We start from the raw sequence: 21,773 nt of genomic DNA, 5'->3' as shown, positions 1-21,773 counted from the left end.
CTTTGGGAGGCCAAGGCGGACAGATCACAAGGGTCAAGAGATCAAGACCATCCTGCCCAACATGGTGAAACCCCATCTATACTAAAAATACAAAAATTAGCTGGGCATGGTGGCATGCGCCTGTGGTCCCAGCTACTTGGGAGGCTGAGGCAGGAGAATCACTTGAACCCGGGAGGCAGAGGTTGCGGTGAGCCAAGATCACACCATTGCATTCCAGCCTGGGCAACAAGAGCGAAACTCCATCTCAAACAAAAAGAGAGAATTTAGCAGTTTTTAGCCTAATTAATTAATTAATGGCCATTTACTAATGAGCCTATAACTCTTATTCCAATGTTGATTTCTACAAGTTTTCCCCTCCCATCACAAAAGCAAATCTACCATGTATATAAAAAGTATTTCTAATTTGCCACAAGATTGGAAACAATATATACAGCATCAATAGAAAACTGGCTAAAAAATACCTTAACAGCTGTAAAAAGGAAAGGGGGGGGTGGGGGGGATGGGATTCTCCTATGTATTGATAGAGAATGACCTTCAAGATACATTAAGTGAAAAAAATCAAGATGTAGAATGGTAAAAATTGTCTGTTACTATTCATATTTTAAGGAGAAAAGGGGAAGTCTAGAAAAAGAATACACATTTGTATTGTTTGTATATGCGTGGATATACTGTCTCTGTAAAGTTACAAAAGAAACTGGTAACATTGGTTGCTTCCACCCAGAGAACTGGGTGACAGAGTGCAAGAGGGACTTTTCACAATATACAATGTACGCTTCTTAGATTTTAAACTATCTTAATGTATTATATTAAATTTAAAAAAAGATTTTGCTCTGAGTAATTACTTTATTTAGAAAATGTCTAAATTGTTAAATTCCTTTTTCCTTATTTTCTAGGCAAAACCTATGTGGGTCTAAAAATTGTTCAGGCCCTCCTAACCAACGAGTCTGTTTGGCAAATTAGCCTCCAGAAGTTCCCCATCTTGGTTGTGTGTTATACTAATCATGCTTTGGACCAGTTTCTGGAAGGTAATACTTATAGGCAAATTTGTTCTCTATCAAGATGTTGATGATTGAACCATCAGCAACTTCAGTAGCTTTCTATTGCTCTTCAAACAAAGTCAACAGTCCTTATCATTACTTACATGGCCGTTTGTGATCTGTCCCAGCTGGACTGTGAACCACAGCTCCTACTTCTTAACCTTGTTCTCCCTAACTCCAGCAACACTGGTTATCTTCAGTTCCTTGAAAGCCTCTACGTCCTCCATTGGCCCATGCCATCCTCTGGCCTGGAATAGTTTTTTCCCTCTCCATCTTGAGCTTATTCAACCTGGCCCTACTCAACCTGGCCCTACTCATTCTTCTGGTCCCACTTTAAATCTCTCTTCTCAGGTGGACTTTTTCTATAGCCCCAAAGTGAAGTCTCTTTTGCATTTTTTATTTTTTTATAATCTATTTTATGTATCGCTACCCTAGATGAGGATTGGTCCTTTTCTTGCTGTATTCACATATCCTGGCACATATTAGGCACTCAAAAAATACTAAATAACATTAATGGATGAATAAATATATGCTTTTCCTTTATTTTTATTCTTCTATACCTCCCTTTCACCTAGATAAATCTTTATTCTTAGAGTCTGAGTTTAAATATTAGATTCTTAAAAATAGATCCCTACCCCACCCAGACTAGGTAATGTCCCCTGCTACCAGTACTCACTACATTTATTGCTGCCGTATTAATTATTTAATGAGTAACTTCCTGCCAGAGACAAAGAAATGATAACAAATCAGAAACTGGGCCTATGTTTCTACTGCTATATCTTCAGAACTTGGCACATGCCTAAAACATATGAGCAATCAGTAAATCTGCAGAGTGAAAAATATGTAACATATCCTGGGTGCTTGCTTTGTGCTGGGCCCTAGCTAGGAGCTTTAAAGATTTTCTTTCATTTATCCAGACTGTAGCCCTATATGGGAGATATTGCCATCTCTAAATCACAGACAGAGAAACTGAGACTCAAGTCACTTGCCCCAGGTTACACAGCAATAAGTGGTAGAGCTAAGAGTTGGATCCCTAGTTGTCTGATTCCAGAACCTGTACTCTTTAAGTGCTACACTTTACTGCTCTGCAGGTCACATCTTCTCGGGGACCTTCTCACTCATTAATGGGGTAAATTTCCTTTAAGCACAAGTTTATTCTCTAAGGGACCAGACTAGATCCCAAATACACACAGCTCTCACCTGAGAGAACCTAGCATAAGCTCCTCTCAACCCTGCCATGCTCCACTTTGTTCCACAGGCATCTACAATTGTCAGAAGACCAGCATTGTGCGGGTGGGTGGAAGGAGCAACAGTGAAATCCTGAAGCAGTTCACCCTAAGGGAGCTGAGGAACAAGCGGGAATTCCGCCGCAACCTCCCCATGCACCTCCGAAGGGCCTACATGAGTGTAAGTCCCAGCTCTGAAATATCTGGGGTAGTTCAAGAGGGACCTAAACAAGATAGCAGTGGCTTTCTGGGTAGGCAGCCCAGGGTAGATTTGGAGGCTCCTCAAAGCTCTGGAGGACCCAGGTTCCTTTCAGCATTCTATTCTGCCAATCCCTTGGTATGACCTTTGCCTTCACAATCCAAGATGGAGAAAAGACAAGGAAACACTGCCCATCCCCACCCTACCTTAACGCTCCTTCCCCCATACCACCCACAGCACCTCTGTGTACAGCCAACTGACCAGGGAAATGTCATCTTTTAGCTGGGCAGCAATGTGCCCAGTCAAAAATCTGAGTTCTTATTACTAAGGAAAAGAGAGAGAACAGATATTGTGAGCCTTGAAGTCTCTCCCACAGTATTCTTGGCCTGTTTGTTTTTCTGTTGTGTAGGTTGAGCATCTCAAATTGGAAAATCCAAATCCAAAACTTTCTGAGTGCCAACATTATTTCTTTTTTTGAGACAGGGTCTTGCTCAGTCACCCAGGCTGGAGTGCAGTGGCACAATCTCGGCTCACTGCAACCTCCACCTCCTAGGTTCAAGCGATTCTCTTGCCTCAGCCTCCTGAGTAGCTGGGATTACAGGCGCCCGCCATCACACCTGGCTAATTTTTGTATTTTTAGTAGAGACAAGATTTCACCATGTTGGCCAGGCTGGTCTCGATCTCTTGACCTCATGGTCCACCCGCCTCGGCCTCCCAAAGTGCTGGGATTACAGGCGTGAGCCACCGCGCCCGGCCCAACATTATTTCACATTTTGGATTTCCAGATTTGCAATGCTCAACCAGTAAGTATAAACGCAAATATTCCAAAATCTGAAACACTTCTAGTCCCAAGCATTTTGGATAAGGGATATTCAACCTGCCACCACGCCTGGCTAATTTTTGCATTTTTAGTAGAGACAGTGTTTTGCCATGTTGGCCAGGCTGGTCTTGAACTACAGACCTCAAGTGATCCACCTGCCTTGGCCTCCTAAAATGCTGGTATTACAGGCATGAGCCACCACACTCAACCGATACTAGTTCTTTGGTTTCAAGACCACAATAATGTGCCTTGGGAAATTGGTTTGTTGACCAGTCTATTTATTTATTCTCCCTCCTTACTGTTCCTGTCTTAGCTTTGCTTTCCCTCAAGGTGAGGACTGAGTTTGGGGGATGATGATATTTCCTCATCATTTCTTTCCCTCTGTTCTTGGAAGATCATGACACAGATGAAGGAGTCAGAGCAAGAGCTTCATGAAGGAGCCAAGACCCTGGAGTGCACCATGCGTGGTGTCCTACGGGAACAGTACCTGCAGAAGTACATCTCACCCCAGCACTGGGAAAGTCTCATGAATGGACCAGTGCAGGTAGGGGTCATCCTGGGGGACACAAATATGTCTCTGGCCTCAGTACTTTGAGGTAGCCTCCAGGAGAAGCATCAGTCCAAAACTTTACCTGTTTGATAATCTGATGCTGCCACAATGTGTAAAGTTCCCTTTTGTGATGAGAGGCAGCTGAATATGCTGGTCAGGAACAAAACTCGAACCAGCCTGTTGGGTTTTAGTCTGAGCTTGGCTCTGGACAAGTTACTTAATTTTCTGTGGCTGTTTCCCCTTTTATAAAATGGGGATAATAATAAGCATTAAGTTGAACCATATGAAATTGCCAACATCTGTAATATTGATTTGCAAAAAAGGCAATTTCTTACAGATCTTTGTTCTTACAGGATTGTTATTTAGATGAGCAAGGTGATATTTGTAAACTTATTAATTTAGTAACTGTACTATAAGTGTTTGTTAAATGAAATGAAGAAAATCATAACCAGAGGCAAACTAGCACAGATAGAGAACTTGGGAGTTGATAGATATAGTCATGCAGACTGACTGTGTGACTTGGGTTCATGTGATCCTCAGCAATCAAACATGGATAATAATAATGCCTACCTTCAAAAGATATGGTAAGAAATAACTGAGACAGTCTCTGTAAAGTGGCAGGCTAGGAACCCAGTGAAATGGTAGCTTTGTTACCATTAGGTTGCTGATTTACAGGATTACAAACCAAAAGCTTACAGAGGTCATTCAGGTCTTACAAATAAGTGAAGCAATCTAGATTTGAAATATTAAGAAGCGGAGAGGACTGTGGCAAACTAGAACAGATGTGGTAGCAACCCAGCTCCAGCCATTTGTTGCCATTCAGTAATAAACAGTCATTGCTGCCATAGCTCCTGATTTTGTCAAAATAGGCTGGAAAATTTTTTTAATTCTTTTTTTTTTTTCTTCTTTTTTTTTTTTTTGAGACAGAGTTCTCACTCTCTCACCCCAGGCTGCAGTGCAATGGCGCGATCTTGGCTTACTACAACCTCCGCCTCCCGGGTTCAAGCGATTCTCTTACCTTGGCCTCTTGAGTAGCTAGGATTACAGGCACCTGCCATCATGCCTGGCTAATTTTTGTAGAGACAGGGTTTCACCACATTCGCCAGGCTGGTCTTGAACTCCTGACCTCAGGTGACCCGCCCACCTCGGCTCTCCAAAGTGCTGGGATTATAGGCATGAGCCACCGTGCCCAGCCCTTTGATTTTTAAAATTCTATACAAGTCATGTTAAATGTTCCAGTTGCCCAAGGAGATGCCAGTTCACAGCCTCTGAACTTTTTTTTTTTTTAACAATATGATGTTTCTTTTTTAATTTTTTTTTTAACTTTTAAGTTCAGGGGTACGTGTGCAGGTTTGTTACGTAGGTAAACTTGTGTCATGAGGCCAAGCGCGCAGTGGCTCACGCCTGTAATCCCAGCACTTTGGGAGGCCGAGGCAGGCGGATCACGAGGTCAGGAGATTGAGACCATCCTGGCTAACACGCTGAAACCCCGTCTCTACTAAAAAAATAAAAAAATTAGCCGGGCATGGTGGCGGGCGCCTGTAGTCCCAGCTACTCAGGAGGCTGAGGCAGGAGAATGGTGTGAACCTGGGAGGCAGAGCTTGCAGTGAGCCGAGATCGTGCCACTGCACTCCAGCCTGGGCGACAGAGCAAGACTGTCTCAAAAAAAAAAAAAAAAACTTGTGTCATGGCGGTTTGTTGTACATCACCTAGATATTAAGCCTAGTACTCATCAGTTATTTTTCCTGCTCCTCTCCCTCCTCCCATCCTCCACCCTTCAATAGGCCCCAGTGTGTTGATCCCCTCTATGTGACCATGTGTTCTCATCATTTAACTTATAAGTGAGAACATGCAGTATTTGGTTTTCTGTTCTTGTGTTAGTTTGCTAAAGATAATGCCCTCAAACTCCATTCAGGTCCTCGCAAAGGACATGATCTCATTCTTTTTTATGGCTGCATAGTATTCCATGGTATATATGTACCACGTTTTCTTTATCCAGTCCTTCATTGATGCGCATTTAGGTTGATTAGATGTCTTTGCTGTTGTGAATAGTACAGCCTATAAACTTTAAGGGAATTACTTTTGATTCTTTTTTCTTTTGAGATAGGGTCTTGAGCCCAGGCTGGAGGGCAGTGGCATAATCATAGCTCACTGCAGCCTCGGCCTCCTGGGCTCAAGCAGTCCTCCCACCTCAGCCTCCTGGGTAACTGGGATTATATGTGCATGCCATCACACCCAGCTTTTTTGAGACAGAATCTTGCTTTTGTCACCCAGGCCGGAGTGTAGTGGCACAATCTCCACTCACTGCAACCTCTGCCTCCCGGGTTCAAGCAGTTCTTCTGCCTCAACCTCCTGAGTAGCTGGGACTACAGGCATGCACCACTATGCCTGGCTAATTTTTGTAGTTTTAATAAAGACAGGGTTTCACCATGTTGGCCAGGCTGGTCTCAAACTCGTGACCTCAGGTGATCCGCCTGCCTCAGCCTCCCAAAGTGTTGGGATTACAGGCGCAAGCCACCACGCCCAGTCTTTTTTTTTTCTCTCTTTTTAAAGACATAGGGTCTCACCGTATTGCCCAGGCTGGTCTTGAATTTCTGGGCTCAGGCAGTCTTCCTGCCTTGGCCTTCCAAATTGCTGGGATTACAGGCATGAGCTACCATGCCCCAATCTGCTTTTGATTCTTTGAGGAGACCCAGCCTTCACATTGGTTGTCATAGAATCCTCACAAATGATCATTCTTCTTTCCTTAGGATAGTGAATGGATTTGCTTCCAGCACTGGAAGCATTCCATGATGCTGGAGTGGCTAGGTCTTGGTGTCGGTTCTTTCACGCAAAGTGTTTCTCCAGCAGGACCTGAGAATACAGGTAAGAAGTGCATGTCTTCCTAGAATCAAATCTTAACGTAGAATATAGTAAATACCAGAACAGTGAGACTTAAAAATAATTCCCAGAATAAATAAAGAGCTATGAGTCAATCAGAGAAAGACAAATAGCTTAATATAAGGAAAAGAGATAAAATACTTTTTTTTTTTTTTTTTGAGATGGAGTTTCACTCTTGTTGCCCAGGCTGGAGTGCAGTGGTGTGATCTCGGCTCACTGCAACCTCCACCTTCCAGGTTCAAGCGATTCTCCTCTCCTGCCTTAGCCTCCCAAGTAGCTGGCATTACAGGCAAGTGCCACCACGCGCAGCTAATGAGATAAAAGACTTTTAACAGGCACATCACAAAATAGGAAATTGTTCAATAGATATATGAAAAGTGCTCATTAAAAACTAGAGGAATTAAAACCACAATGAGATAACTATTACTTACACACCAGTTTGGCAACAATTAAAGTTTGATATAACCCCATGTTGATGAGAATTTGAAGCAATGGAAACTCTGATGCACTGCTGCTGGGGATATTTAAATTTACATAACCACTTTATCATAGCAGAAAATCAGAAAGAACTCAAATGTTCATCAACATTTCTTCAATGGATGGATCAATTAAGTCAACTCAGATAATGAAATACTGTACAACAGTGAAAAGGAATGAAACACAGCATATACAGTAACACATATGAATCTCAAAAACATGCTGAATGAAAAAGGCAAGTTAGCCGGGCATAGTGGCCCATGCATGTAATCCCAGCACTTTGCAAGTGCAAGGCAGGAGGATCGTTTCAGCCCAGAAGTTGGAGACCAGCCTGGGCAACATAATGAGACCCTGTCTTTACTAAAAAAAAAAAGGAAAAAGTTTAGCTGGGTGTGGTGGTGCGTGCCTGTAGTCCCAGCTACTTAGGTGGCTGAGGCGAGAGGATGGCTTGAGCTCAGGAGGTTGAGGCTGCAGTGAGCCATGACTGCAATGCTGCACTACAGCCTGAGTGACAGACATAGTCTCAAAAAAAAAAAAGGCAAGTTATGGAAACATATATACTAGACAATGTGTTACTTAGATACAGTATAAATGTGGTAACATTATTATCTTTTAAAAAGGAAATGAGTAATATAAAATTCGGGTTAGGAAGGCTAACAAAGGTCTTCAAAAAATTTGTCAGTTTTCTACTTAAATTGGGTGGAAGGTACTTGGGTATTCATTTTATATATTTTTATTATCCTTTATATTACATATTTACATTGTATGCCCTCCATTGTATATGTATTTGGTATAAGTAAAACCTTTATTTATTTATTGTGTATTTATTTTATTTATTTATTTATTTATTTATTTTTTTTTGAGACTGAGTCTCACAGTCTCACTCTGTCCACCAGGCTGCAGTGCAATGGTGTGATCTCGGCTCACTGCAACCTCTGCCTCCTAGGTTCGAGCAATTCTCCTGCCTCAGCTTCCCAAGTAGCTGGGATTACAGGCACACTCACCACACCCAGCTTATTTTGTATTTTTAGTAAAGATGGGGTTTCCCCATGTTGGCCAGGCTGGTCTTGAGCTCCTGACCTCAGGTGATCTGCCCACCTCGGCCTCCCAGAGTGCTGGGATTACAGGCATGAGCCACCACGCCCAGCCTTATTTATTTATTTTTGAGATGGAGTCTCACTCTGTTGCCCAGGCTGGAGTGCAATGGCACGATCTCGGCTCACTGCAACTTCCACCTCCTGGGTTCAAGTGATTCTCCTGCCTCAGCCTCCCAGGTAGCTAGAAATACAGGCATGCGCCACCACACTTGGCTAATTTTTGTATTTTTAGTAAAGACAGAGTTTCACCGTGTTGGCCAGGCTGGTCTCGAACTCCTGACGTCAGGTGATCCACCCACCTCAGCCTCCCAGAGTGCTGGGATACAGGCATAAGCCCCACGCACAGCCAAAACCTTTCTTTAAAAGGCATATATTCGTATGATTTTTTAACGTAAAACGTAACAAAAAGTATATAAGGAGACCTTAAGCCTTTCCTAACTCTCCTCTCATTCCTTTTAGTTTCTCTTCTCAAAAATAATCACATAGGGCTGGGTGCAGTGGCTCACACCTGTAATCCCAGCACTTTGGGAGGCCGAGGCAGGCCTGAGGTCGGGAGTTCGAGACCAGCCTGACCAACATGGAGAAACCCTGTCTCTACTAAAAATACAAAATTAGCTGGGCGTGGTGGTGCATGCCTGTAATGCCAACTACTCGGGAGGCTGAGGCAGGAGAATCGCTTGAACCCGGGAGGTGGAGGTTGTGGTGAGCCAAGATTGTGCCATTGCACTCCAGCCTGGGCAACGAGTGAAACTCCGTCTCAAAAAAAAAAAAAAAATCACATAAACCCTTGATAATGTCTTCATGCATCTGAGCTCTTGCAGGTGCCGTCTTCTGTCCCTTAGCTTCAAGAGTTTCCATCTCTGGCCAGGCACGGTGGCTCACGCCTGTAATCCCAGCACTTTGGGAAGCCAAGGCGGGCAGATCACGAGGTCAGGAGTTCGAGACCAGCCTGACCAACATGGTGAAACCCCATCTCTACTAAAAATACAAAATTAGCCTACAAAATTAGCCAGGCGTGGTGGTGGGTGCATGTAATCCCAGCTACTCAGGAGGCTGAGGCCGGAGAATCACTTGAACCCAGGAGGCAGAGGTTGCAATGAGCCAAGATCGCACCACCGCACTCCACCCTGGGCAAAAGAGCGAGATTCCATATCAAAAAAAAAAAAAAAAAGAGTTTTCATCTCTCTCCTGCCTGTTTCTCTCTCTTAGCCCAGGCAGAAGGGGATGAGGAGGAAGAAGGGGAGGAGGAGAGTTCGCTGATAGAGATCGCAGAGGAAGCTGACCTGATTCAAGCAGACCGGGTGATTGAGGAGGAAGAGGTGGTGAGGCCCCAGCGGCGGAAGAAGGAAGAGAGTGGAGCAGACCAGGAGTTGGCTAAAATGCTTCTGGCCATGAGGCTAGACCATTGTGGCACTGGGACAGCAGCTGGACAGGAGCAAGCCACAGGAGAGTGGCAGGTAAACTCACTTCCTTGGGTTGAAACAGGCCTGAGAGTGTTCTGACCGCTTGTTTTCCCCCACTTCTGATACAGTATATTCACTTCACCATTACAATTAGCTAAGTACCTGTATTACAGCCTACCCCTGGTATGAGATGGCTTTAGTGATTCCCAAGGATATAAATACGATGGTTCTTCAGAGGGCCTCTGGCAAGAAATGCCAACTTAGAAAGACAGGAAGCAGGTAGCCAAGTGCTTCTGTAGAACTTGTGGAAGAATGTAGCACATATGAGTCAGGTCAAACACGGTCTCAGTACTTAATGCCTTCAGGAGTGTTGTTTTCTCTATTTCAAATGAGTTTGTGAACATGTACTAAGATTTTAGAGGATTAAAGTAAGCAATGAAGCGAGACCTCCAGGCTGGATGGAATATTCCTCCTTCATTCAGCCTGGAATTTGACACTTCTCTTAAAGCCAGAATTGTATGAATGCCCAGGTGTCTTCATGTAGCCTTCCCTCTGCTCCTTTTGGTGGAGCCTAGTAGTCCTCACTGTTTACCATGCATAACTATGATGATCGAGGATTAGATATTCAAAATAAGAATTTGTAAACCTTACCAATGATTTGAGAACTTTCAAGGGCAACTTTGGATGCAGTTTTCATCTGAGTGCTGGCTTTGCACCTGATCTAGTTCAGTTCAGTATCACTATATGTGGTGAGCGGAGTCATGATCTCAATTCTTAGAAGCACAGATTCAGCATCTCTCCCAGGAGGCATCAGGAAAGGTTGATTTGTTTCATTTTGAAGCAGCGGGAAGATCTTTATTTAGTGACATCTGTCTGACTTGCGAGCCTTCTAAAGGCTCATAGCCTCAGACTCAGTGACGGCCAGAAGAGAGCACTTTCTCATAAACAGTGCTTTCCACCACTTGTTAAAGGTACTGTGTTGATACGATGGCAGTAGGACCGTTTTAGCAGGCACTGTGCCAAGTCCTGTGTGAAGCACCAGTTGCTAGGCACTGGTTGTACAGCATTCAACAAGAAAGTACCACCCCCATGACTTTCATGGCATGCATTTTAGGAACAAGAAACAGGCTATGGTCAAAGATGTTTAATGATAACTAGTGCTAGTACTAGTATAAATGCTTTCCACGTATTTACTCCTGACAAGCCAACAATCCTATAAAGAGATACCATTATTATTCCCATTTTATAGAAGGTGATACTGAGGGACACAGAGGTTAGGTCATTTACCTTACTAGGTCCCACAACCTAGTAAGAGGTAGAGTAGGGCTTTGAAGCCAGGCAAACTGGCTCCAGAGTCCTTGTTTAGCCACTCTACAGTGGAAGAGCTGTTGGGAGAATGTAAGACACTTGACATTAATCAGTGATGCCAGCCCTTTTTCTTACGTGCTGTGACCCCTGCCTTGGGCTTAAAACCAAGCCTGCCTCTGCTCAGACAGTACCCTGCCTGGTATTGATGTCTGCAGACCCAGCGCAACCAGAAAAAGAAAATGAAAAAAAGAGTGAAGGATGAGCTTCGCAAACTGAACACCATGACTGCAGCCGAGGCCAACGAGATCGAGGATGTTTGGCAGCTGGACCTCAGTTCTCGCTGGCAGCTTTATAGGTACTGTGTTCCACATCTAGCCAACCCATGTAGGGAGTTCCTCTTCTGTTCCTAGAACATTCTCCACCTCCAAGACCTTCAACGATGTTAACTAATTATTGATTGAGCACCACCACTGAGCTGAGTGATAGGGATACAGCCATGGGATAGAATAGACACTTTGCTCTACTTTCATGGAGCTTATAGAGTCTATCCAGGGTAACAAATTAATTATTACCTTCGTGGAGCCTATGGAGTCTATCCAGGGTAACAAATTAATCACGTAATTCCACAAATAAAAAGTTACAAATGGGTATAAAAACTCAGAAAAGAACAGAGAGGTAACAGGCACAATGACTCACACCTGTAATCTCACCACTTTGGGAGGCTGAGGCTAGAGGATCTCTTGAGGCCCAGGGTTCAAGACCAGCCTGGGCAACATAGTGAGACCTCATCTCTACAGGAAAAAAAAAAAAGAGTAGGAGAGGCCGGGCGCAGTAGCTCACGCCTTTAATGCTAGCACTTCGGGAGGCCGAGACAGGCGGATCACAAGGTCAGGAGATTGAGACCATCCTGGCTAACACAGTGAAACCCCGTCTCTACTAAAAACACAAAAAATTAGCTGGGCGTGGTGGCCGGTGCCTATAATCCCAGCTACTCGGGAGGCTGAGGCAGGAGAATCGCTTGAACCCGGAGGTGGAGGTTGTAGTGAGCCAAGATCACGCCATTGCACTCCAGCCTGGGTGACAGAGCAAGACTCCGTCTTTTAAAAAAAAAAAAAAAAAAGTAGTAGAAAGCCGTTGGAAAGTTTTACAGCGATTAGTGACATCATCAGTTTTACTAATAAAATAAATACTCTATGGAGAATTAGAGGAGGGGAGGGAAATTAGGCAGGGATGCTGCAGCTGGGAGAATTCTTCCCAAAGTTTTTAAAGTCTCTTATTTTCTTCCCATAGTTAACCTTTGTTCTTTATCTCACCCCTTTCCTTAGCTCCTGACTACTCTGCACATCTTTTTGTTGGGCATTTTGGATTCTTAGGTCCCTGAATGTATCTCTCTGTTTGTCACTATGCTCCAAGGGTCCAAGGTTCACTTCATACACTGGGCACACTGAAGGGCGTTCTTCCACCTTCTCAAAGAGCATGTGGCTTTCTTTCCTTGGTTCTTCCCATTCTCCAGGCTCTGGCTACAGTTGTACCAGGCTGACACCCGCCGGAAGATCCTCAGCTATGAACGCCAGTACCGCACATCAGCAGAAAGAATGGCCGAGCTGAGACTCCAGGAAGACCTGCACATTCTTAAAGATGCCCAGGTTGTAGGAATGACAACCACAGGTAAGAAACTGTGGAGAAATTTGCCTGTTGCATCTAAGTTCACTTCTGGTGCCAGATTATCTAAGGACAGGTAAAGAGGAGCTTCTTTGGTAGGTTAGAGGAAAATACCATGAAAAGCTACTGAAAGCACCCATATTTTGAGAACTCTTGGTGAAATTCACTCACTTTCGCCAGGCGCAGTGGCTCACGCCTATAATCCCAACACTTTGGGAGGCCAAGGCAGGTGGATCACCTGAGGTCATAAGTTTGCAATCAGCCTGGCCAACATGGTGAAATCTCATCTCTACTAAAAATACAAAAATTAGCTGGGTGTAGTGGTGGGTGCCTGTAATCCTGGCTACTCGGGAGGCTGGGGCACAAGAATCACTTGAACCTGGGAGGTGGAGGTTGCAGTCAGCTGAGATCGCACCACTGCACTCCAGCCTGGGTGACAGAGTGAGACTGTCTCAAAGAAAAAAAAAAAAAGAAAAAAGAAATTCACTCACTTTCTCCTGCTGGGTTTGAAACTCCAACAGTGACCAACACAGTTTTAATGTTCTGGAGACCACCCAGAACACTATAAGGACCAGCTGTCGCTGATGCAGGTTCAGGGAAGATACAGAAGTGGATTCCCAGAGGCCCAGTGGCCCTGTGGGTCCTGTGCCTCAGCTCAGAGGAGCCTTTCTCTTCTTTCCTCACTTGAGGTGCTGCCAAATACCGCCAGATCCTACAGAAGGTGGAGCCGAGGATTGTCATAGTGGAAGAAGCTGCGGAAGTCCTTGAGGCCCATACCATTGCCACATTGAGCAAAGCTTGCCAGCACCTCATTTTGATTGGGGACCACCAGCAGGTAAAACGAGAGTCCCCCTAGAAGATGGGCTGGCTCTCCGTGGGGGTGAGATCATAAAGGAAGACCCTGGCCTCTGCTTCAACAGTCCTCAAGCTTATTAGTAGCTTCTTGTGATTCCTCTTGTCTTCACCTCCCACGTTCAGTCTAAGAGCAGATGCTATTAGATTTGGGGTATATTTTAGTGGCAACGTCATTTATTTCATCCATTCCCTCTGCTATTTACCTAGTCCACCATGGCCTCTTGAGTGGACTGTATTGTAATAGCATGCTCCTCAGTCTCTCTGCTTCCATTTTTGCTACCTTTTAATGCACTCTACATAAAGGAGCCAAAGTGAATTTTTTTAAAAAAAAGGTAGATAGATAATATCACTTTCCAGCTGAAAACCCTCCAGTGGTGTCCCATTGCACTTGCATAAAAATCAAGCTTCTTAAAGTGGCCCACAAAGGCTTATGTGATCAGGTTTCAGCTTATTTCTCTGACTTCATCCCATTTGCTCTTGGTGTCCCACTGTGTCCTTTCCGCTCCCCATTATGGATCTTGCTTTTCAAATGACTGAAGAACTGGCAACTTCTGCCATGCTAGTGTCTACTCAGATGTCACTGTTCAGAGGCCTAGCTAGAAAAAACCCACCATGGGGCACTCTGTCATATCACCTTTAGTTCTACTAATCCTTAACCCTTGTCATTATTAATCCTTAAACTGTGAGTATGTAGAATAGTGCCTGGCACATAGTCAACACTTGAAAAACATTTGATGGTTGGTTGGATGGATGGAAGTATGGATGGTTAAATGACTTTATCAGTAGAGAATCCTCAGCCATGTTTCTCTTCTCAGCTGCGCCCCAGTGCCAACGTGTATGATCTGGCCAAGAACTTCAACCTTGAGGTGTCCCTTTTTGAACGGCTAGTGAAAGTAAACATTCCCTTTGTCCGTCTGAATTACCAGGTGAGAAGCTGGGCCTCTGTTGTTACCAAATGCCCAGGAGAAAGCTCCTGGGAAGCTGCCAGTTGCCAGCAAAAGAGGTCTCATATAAATAAAAATAATTTAATACTGAAATGACTCTGTCAACCTTACATTTTCTGTTTTAAAACACCACAAGATCACCGTGTTGAGTTTTTGTTGGACAAAGGAGCTGTTTATGTTATGCTTTCTCCTTATTTTTTTCAAATGATAATCTCTATCTCTCTAGATTTTCTTTCCTTTTTTTTTTTAAGAAAAATAGAGGCCAGGTGCGGTGGCTCACACCTGCAATCCCAGCACTTTGGGAGGCCAAGGTGGGCAGATCACCTGAGGTCAGGAGTTCGAGACCAGCCTGGCCAACATGGTGAAAGCCTGTCTCTACTAAAAATGCAAAAATTAGCCGGGCATGGTGGTGGGCACCTGTAATCCCAGCTACTCAGGAGGCTGAGGCAGGAGAATTGCTTGAACCTGGGAGGCGGTGGTTGCAGTGAGCCGAGATCATGCCACTGTACTCCAGCCTGGCAATAGAGCTAGATTCTGTCTCAGAAAAAAAAAAAAGAAAAGAAAAATAGAGGCCAGGTGTGGTGGCTCACACCTTAATCCTAGCACTTTGGGAGGCCAAGGCGGGCGGATCCCTTGAGTTCAGGAGCTCGTGACCAGCCTCGCCAACATGGCGAAACACTGTCTCTGCTAAAAATACAAAAAATTAGCCAGGCGTGGTGCCTCATGCCTGTAGTCCCAGCTACTTTTGGAAGGCTGAGGCAGGAGAATCACTAGAACCTGGGAGGCAGAGGTTGCAATGAGCTGAGATTGCGCCACTGCACCCCAGCCTTGGTGACACGTCTCAAAAAAAAAAAAAAAAGAAAGAAAAATAGAGATGAGGGCTCACTATGTTGCCAGGCTGGTCTTGAAATCCTGACCTGAAGTGATCCTCCTGCCTTGGCTTCCCAAAGTGATGGGATTACAGATACAAGCCATCACAACTGGCCCTCCCTAAATTTTCTAACAGCAACCTTATCTTTAAAGAAATTGTCCGTGTGTGCTCTGCCCATGTTTCTAATGACATGCATGTGTTTTTTCAGCACCGTATGTGCCCTGAAATTGCCCGCCTTTTGACCCCCCACATTTACCAGGATCTGGAGAATCATCCATCTGTTCTTAAGTATGAGAAGATTAAGGTGAGTCTGTCTTACCCGATCTTTCTTGGATGGTGTCAGCAACCTAAAAAGGCTATAATTTCCTCAAGATAAAAAAGCTTTTCAGCGGCCAGGCGCGGTGGCTCACACCTGTAATCCCAGCACTTTGGGAAGCTGAGGTGGGCAGATCACTTGAGGTCAGAGTTCGAGACCAGCCTAACTAACATGGTGAAACCCTGTCTCTACTAAAATACAAAAACTAGCTGAGCATGGTGGCAAGCACCTGTAATCCCAGCTACTCAGAAGGCTGAGGTGGGAGAATTGCTTGAACCCAGGAGGTGGAGGTTGCAGTGAGCTGAGATCGTGCCATGCTACTGCACTCCAGGCTGGGCAGCGGAGAGAGACTCCCTGTCAAAAAAAAAAAGAAAGCCTTCAGAAGGGAGTAGAGCCAGCTTTTTAAAAGCTGGTTACTGGGAGAAAATTGAAATACAGACCAGGGTTTTTTAATCCCAATTCTGCCTGTTAGCCATGTAACCTTAAGCAAGTTATATAAGAATTCTGGCCAGGCGCGGTGGCTTACGCCTGTAATCCCAGAGCTTTGTGAGGCCGAGGCGGGCGAATCACAAGGTCAAGGGATCAAGACCATCCTGGCCAACATGGTGAAATCCCATCTCTACTAAAAATACAAAAATTAGCTGGGTGCGGTGGCATGTGCCTGGCTGGGTGTGGTGGCTCATGCCTATAATCTCAGCACTTTCGGAGGCCAAGATGGGTGGATCACCTGAGGTCAGGAGTTGGAGACTAGCCTGGCCAACATGGTGAAACCCCGTCTCTACTAAAAATACAAAAATTAACTGGGCATGGTGGTGGGCGCCTGTAATCCCAGCTACTTGGGAGGCTGAGGCGAGAGGATCGCTTGAACCTGGGAAGTGGAGGTTGTGGTGAGCCAACAAGACCGTGCCACTGTACTTCAGCCTACGCAACAAGAGTGAACTCTGTCTCAAAAAAAAAAAATTGTCAGCTGAGGCCAAGAGTTCAAAACCAGGCTGGGGCACATAGCAAGACTGTCTCTTTTTTTAAAATAAATAAATAAATTCTGAGTATCAGGTTCTTCTGGACAATAAGAATAATGGCTCCTGCCATATCCCATTACTGTATGGAAGGAGGTAATGTATATAAAGCAGTCAGCACAGTGGAGTGCTCAGTAAGTTAGCTGCTCTGTCATTATCATCATCCTCCTCACAGCACTGCTTGTTCTTTCAGCTATAATGGTTGGATTGTGGATGGCTGTTTTATTTTCTATTTTTTTTGAGATGGAGTCTCACTCTGTCTGTCACCCAGGCTGGAGTGCAGTGGCATGATCTCGGCTCACTGCAATCTCTGCATCCTGGGTTCAAACTATTCTCCCATCTCAGCCTCCTGAATAGCTGGGATTATAGGCGCCCACTACCACGCCCAGCTAATTTTTGTATTTTTAGTAGAGACGGGGTTTCACCATGTGGGCCAGGCTGGTCTCAAACTCCTGACCTCAGGTGATCCACCCACCTCGGCCTCTCAAAGTGCTGGGATTACAGACGTGAGCCACTGTACCCAGCCAGCTTTTTTAAATATTAACATCAAACAAGTATCTTGAAAACTGAAAGAGACATAATCTTTTATTTTCATAACTTGCTGTGGCCCCAAAATGAAGCACACAATGACTAACTAAAGAACTAAAGATAGTGATGTTGAGTGGACAAAAAGCTTTCCAAGGTCTCTCTCTGGAGCAGAGTAAGTGGCCAGTGCATGTCAAGAGAGGAAGAAAAAAACAAGTGCCATGAGTGAACCTTTTAACATGTCACTTCTTTTCCCTGTCAGGGGGTGTCTTCCAACCTTTTCTTTGTAGAACACAACTTTCCTGAACAGGAAATCCAAGAGGGCAAAAGCCATCAGAACCAGCATGAGGCTCACTTTGTGGTAGAGCTGTGCAAGTACTTCCTGTGCCAGGAATACCTGCCTTCCCAGATCACCATCCTCACTACCTATACCGGGCAGCTCTTCTGCCTGCGCAAACTGATGCCTGCCAAGACATTTGCTGGCGTCAGGGTCCATGTTGTGGACAAATACCAAGGGGAAGAGAATGACATCATCCTCCTCTCGCTAGTGCGGAGCAACCAAGAAGGCAAGGTGGGTTTTCTGCAGATATCCAACCGCATCTGTGTGGCCTTGTCCCGAGCCAAGAAGGGAATGTACTGCATCGGAAACATGCAGATGCTGGCCAAGGTGCCCCTGTGGAGCAAGATCATTCATACACTTCGAGAGAACAATCAAATAGGCCCCATGCTCCGGCTCTGCTGCCAGAACCACCCTGAAACCCACACCTTAGTATCCAAAGCTTCTGACTTCCAAAAAGTACCCGAAGGAGGCTGCAGCCTGCCCTGCGAGTTCCGCCTGGGCTGTGGGCATGTCTGCACCCGTGCCTGCCACCCTTATGACTCTTCACACAAGGAGTTCCAATGCATGAAGCCATGCCAGAAGGTCATCTGTCAGGAAGGGCACCGGTGTCCCCTTGTTTGCTTCCAGGAGTGTCAGCCTTGTCAGGTGAAGGTGCCCAAAACCATTCCTCGGTGCGGCCATGAACAAATGGTCCCTTGTTCCGTGCCTGAGTCAGATTTCTGCTGCCAGGAGCCTTGCTCCAAGTCTCTGAGATGTGGGCACAGATGCAGCCACCCATGTGGTGAGGACTGTGTGCAGCTGTGTTCAGAAATGGTCACCATAAAACTCAAGTGTGGGCACAGTCAACCGGTAAAATGTGGTCATGTGGAAGGCCTCCTGTATGGTGGTCTGCTAGTCAAGTGTACCACAAAGTGTGGCACTATCTTGGACTGCGGGCATCCTTGCCCAGGCTCCTGCCACAGCTGCTTCGAAGGGCGTTTCCATGAACGCTGTCAGCAGCCCTGCAAGCGCCTGCTTATCTGCTCACACAAGTGCCAGGAACCATGCATTGGTGAGTGCCCACCCTGCCAGCGGACCTGTCAGAACCGCTGTGTCCACAGCCAGTGCAAGAAGAAATGTGGGGAGCTGTGTAGTCCCTGCGTGGAACCCTGTGTCTGGCGCTGCCAGCACTACCAGTGCACCAAACTCTGCTCTGAGCCCTGCAACCGACCCCCATGCTATGTGCCTTGTACTAAGCTGCTAGTTTGTGGCCACCCCTGCATTGGTCTCTGTGGGGAGCCATGCCCCAAGAAATGCCGGATCTGCCACATGGATGAGGTCACCCAAATATTCTTTGGCTTTGAGGATGAGCCTGATGCCCGCTTTGTGCAGCTGGAAGACTGCAGCCACATCTTTGAGGTGCAAGCCCTAGACCGCTACATGAATGAACAGAAGGATGATGAAGTCGCCATCAGATTGAAAGTCTGCCCTATCTGCCAGGTGCCCATCCGCAAAAACCTGAGGTATGGAACTAGCATAAAACAGCGGCTAGAAGAGATTGAAATCATCAAGGAAAAGATCCAGGGCTCAGCAGGGGAAATAGCAACCAGCCAGGAACGGCTTAAGGCCCTGCTGGAGAGGAAGAGCCTCCTCCACCAGCTGCTTCCTGAAGACTTCCTGATGTTAAAGGAGAAGCTGGCCCAGAAAAATCTGTCAGTGAAGGACCTGGGTCTGGTTGAGAATTACATCAGCTTCTATGACCACCTGGCCAGCCTGTGGGATTCCCTGAAAAAGATGCATGTCTTAGAAGAGAAAAGAGTGAGGACTCGACTAGAACAGGTCCATGAGTGGCTGGCCAAGAAGCGCTTGAGCTTCACTAGCCAGGAACTAAGTGACCTCCGAAGTGAAATCCAGAGGCTCACATACCTGGTGAACCTTCTGACCCGCTACAAGATAGCAGAGAAGAAGGTGAAAGATAGCATAGCAGTAGAGGTCTATAGTGTCCAGAATATCCTTGAGAAAACATGTAAGTTCACCCAAGAGGATGAACAACTTGTGCAGGAAAAGATGGAAGCTCTGAAAGCCACCCTTCCCTGCTCTGGCCTGGGCATCTCAGAGGAAGAGCGAGTGCAGATTGTCAGTGCCATAGGTTATCCTCGTGGTCACTGGTTCAAGTGCCGCAATGGCCATATCTATGTGATTGGCGATTGTGGGGGAGCCATGGAGAGGGGCACGTGTCCTGACTGTAAGGAAGTGATTGGTGGCACAAATCATACTCTGGAAAGAAGCAACCAGCTTGCTTCTGAAATGGATGGAGCCCAGCATGCTGCCTGGTCTGACACGGCCAACAACCTGATGAACTTTGAGGAGATCCAGGGGATGATGTAGGAAGATGGTACACCACTGCCTTTTGCCCTCGCCACTGAATGACTGGGGCCAGCTCCCTAATGAAGGAACTGAAGTTTGTTTTTTATTATCATCCTTTTTAGGCTGGGCGCAGTGGCTTACGCCTGTAATCCCAGCACTTTGGGAGGCCGAGGCAGGCGGATCACGAGGTCAGGAGTTCGAGACCAGCCTGACCAACATGGCGAAACCCCGTCTCTACTAAAAATACAAAAATTAGCTGGGCGTTATGGCGGGCGCCTGTAATCCCAGCTACTTGGGAGGCTGAGGCAGAAGAATCGCTTAAACCCAGGAGGCGGAGGTTGCAGTGAGCTGAGATCATGCCATTGCACTCCAGTCTGGGCGACAGGAGCAAGACTCTGTCTCAAAAAAAAAAAAATCATTCTTTTTAGTCTTAGCACCTACTTAAGGATCCACTTTTAGGGCTCACCCACATTTGTTTCTAGATTTACCCCTGCGCTAGAGTAAGCACTTTATCTCCAGAACTGAGAGCAAAGTTAACAAATCTCACCCCTTCTCTCCTGCAAATTAGTGGACAGACTCCCTGGAACATGTTTGGGGCTTCCACCTAGGGCCACCTAGTGGTATCTCTGGGTCTTTACTTGGTCAGATGTTTATTCTACATTGTTCCCCAGGAACAGAGTATGAGCTCATTGATGCAGACCGATTCTAATTGCCAGGCCCTAATTTGCAGACTAACTCTCATAATAAACAGAGGCCCATAGTTGTTTATGAACTGCTTATCCCTTAAAGGAGCACAAGAACCCCTCCCTGCCCTCCTTGGGCACCCTGCCTCCAGGAGATGGAGGCACGTGATAAGACAAAAGACTGCACCAACTCACCCTGACACAGTTACATAGTCACTGAGAGTGGGGAAGATGGGACAGCCCACATGCTGCATAAGATGGGCCTTATGCAGCAGGCCCAGGTCGTCATTAAGGAGTGACCCCTTTCCTGTAACCTGCACTTTGGGATGGTAGAAGTTTCTTTACCTGCTGACAGGTTTGGTGGCACTGCTGGTTACCCCTGGGCCCTGAATGGAGCTAAAATCACATTTGGTACCAGCAGCACCTATCCCAAGTGTGATCCTTCATCCCAACACTCCCTCTTGGAGCTGTTCCCTGGGTAGAGCTAGCATGCCAGCAGCTTCTGCAGGCTCCAAACCCAGGCCAGAAGCCAGACCCAGGCCTGCTGCCTGCATCTGCATTCCCTCCTTCCAGTGTTCCTTAGAACAGACATTTAGGTATCTCAGGTCCTTTCTAAGTGTCCCTTTCCTATGTATGCATTTCCTTTTTTTGTCTTTACTATGCACTTTAGCTTATAAAGCCAATTAAAAACAATGATTGAGAAAATCAGTGGTCCACGTGTATCCTCAATTTTCAGAAGCAACTCAGCCAAAGACAGTGAAGACGGGCACAGGGAAGGCACTGTCTACAGTGAGGCTGTGATTTTGTTTTTGTGATACAGGATTTTTATTTAGCTGGTGAATGAATCATTTTTACCCACGGTAAAAAGAACATTTTTTCAGCCTGTACAAAAGGGTATACCTGAAGTTTCTTTCTCCAGAGGCAAACCCTGTTAACTTCCTGAGTCCTCCCAGAGAGAACTTATGCACATGCAATACACATCCCTTAGGCCAGGCATGGTGGCTCACATCTGTAATCCCAGCACTTTGGGAGGCCACATTGGGCAGATGGCCTGAGCCCAGGAGTTCAAGACCAGCCTGGGCAACAGGGCGAAACCATCTCCACAAAAAAAAAAATACAAAAATAAGCCAGGTGTTGTTGCTTGCACTTGTAGTCCTAGCTACTCCAAAGGCTGAGGTAGGAGGATCACCTGAGCCTGGGGAGGTCGAGGTTGCAGTG

At 45.9% G+C, this 21,773-nt stretch overlaps 1 protein-coding gene across 1 annotated transcript in view; it reads left to right on the top strand.

Annotated features, from left to right (window-relative positions):
- The window catches only part of ZNFX1 (zinc finger NFX1-type containing 1), a 32,158-nt gene extending 10,898 nt beyond the window's left edge, over positions 1-21,260 (top strand). Inside the window, exons 4-14 of the mRNA NM_021035.3 lie at positions 894-1,025; positions 2,296-2,444; positions 3,677-3,826; positions 6,583-6,697; positions 9,496-9,743; positions 11,213-11,352; positions 12,511-12,665; positions 13,349-13,494; positions 14,330-14,440; positions 15,538-15,633; positions 17,449-21,260. Coding sequence (NP_066363.1) covers positions 894-1,025; positions 2,296-2,444; positions 3,677-3,826; positions 6,583-6,697; positions 9,496-9,743; positions 11,213-11,352; positions 12,511-12,665; positions 13,349-13,494; positions 14,330-14,440; positions 15,538-15,633; positions 17,449-19,893 — 3,887 coding nt within the window. The 3' untranslated portion in view covers positions 19,894-21,260. The remainder of the gene's footprint in view (positions 1-893; positions 1,026-2,295; positions 2,445-3,676; positions 3,827-6,582; positions 6,698-9,495; positions 9,744-11,212; positions 11,353-12,510; positions 12,666-13,348; positions 13,495-14,329; positions 14,441-15,537; positions 15,634-17,448) is intronic.
- Positions 21,261-21,773: the final 513 nt, after the last annotated feature.

The sequence above is a fragment of the Homo sapiens genome, chromosome 20 (assembly GCF_000001405.40).
Source record: "Homo sapiens chromosome 20, GRCh38.p14 Primary Assembly".
Classification (NCBI taxonomy): Eukaryota; Metazoa; Chordata; class Mammalia; order Primates; family Hominidae; genus Homo; species Homo sapiens.
The sequence above is the reverse complement of the archived record's forward strand: the minus strand, read 5'-3'. Positions and strand labels throughout refer to the sequence as shown.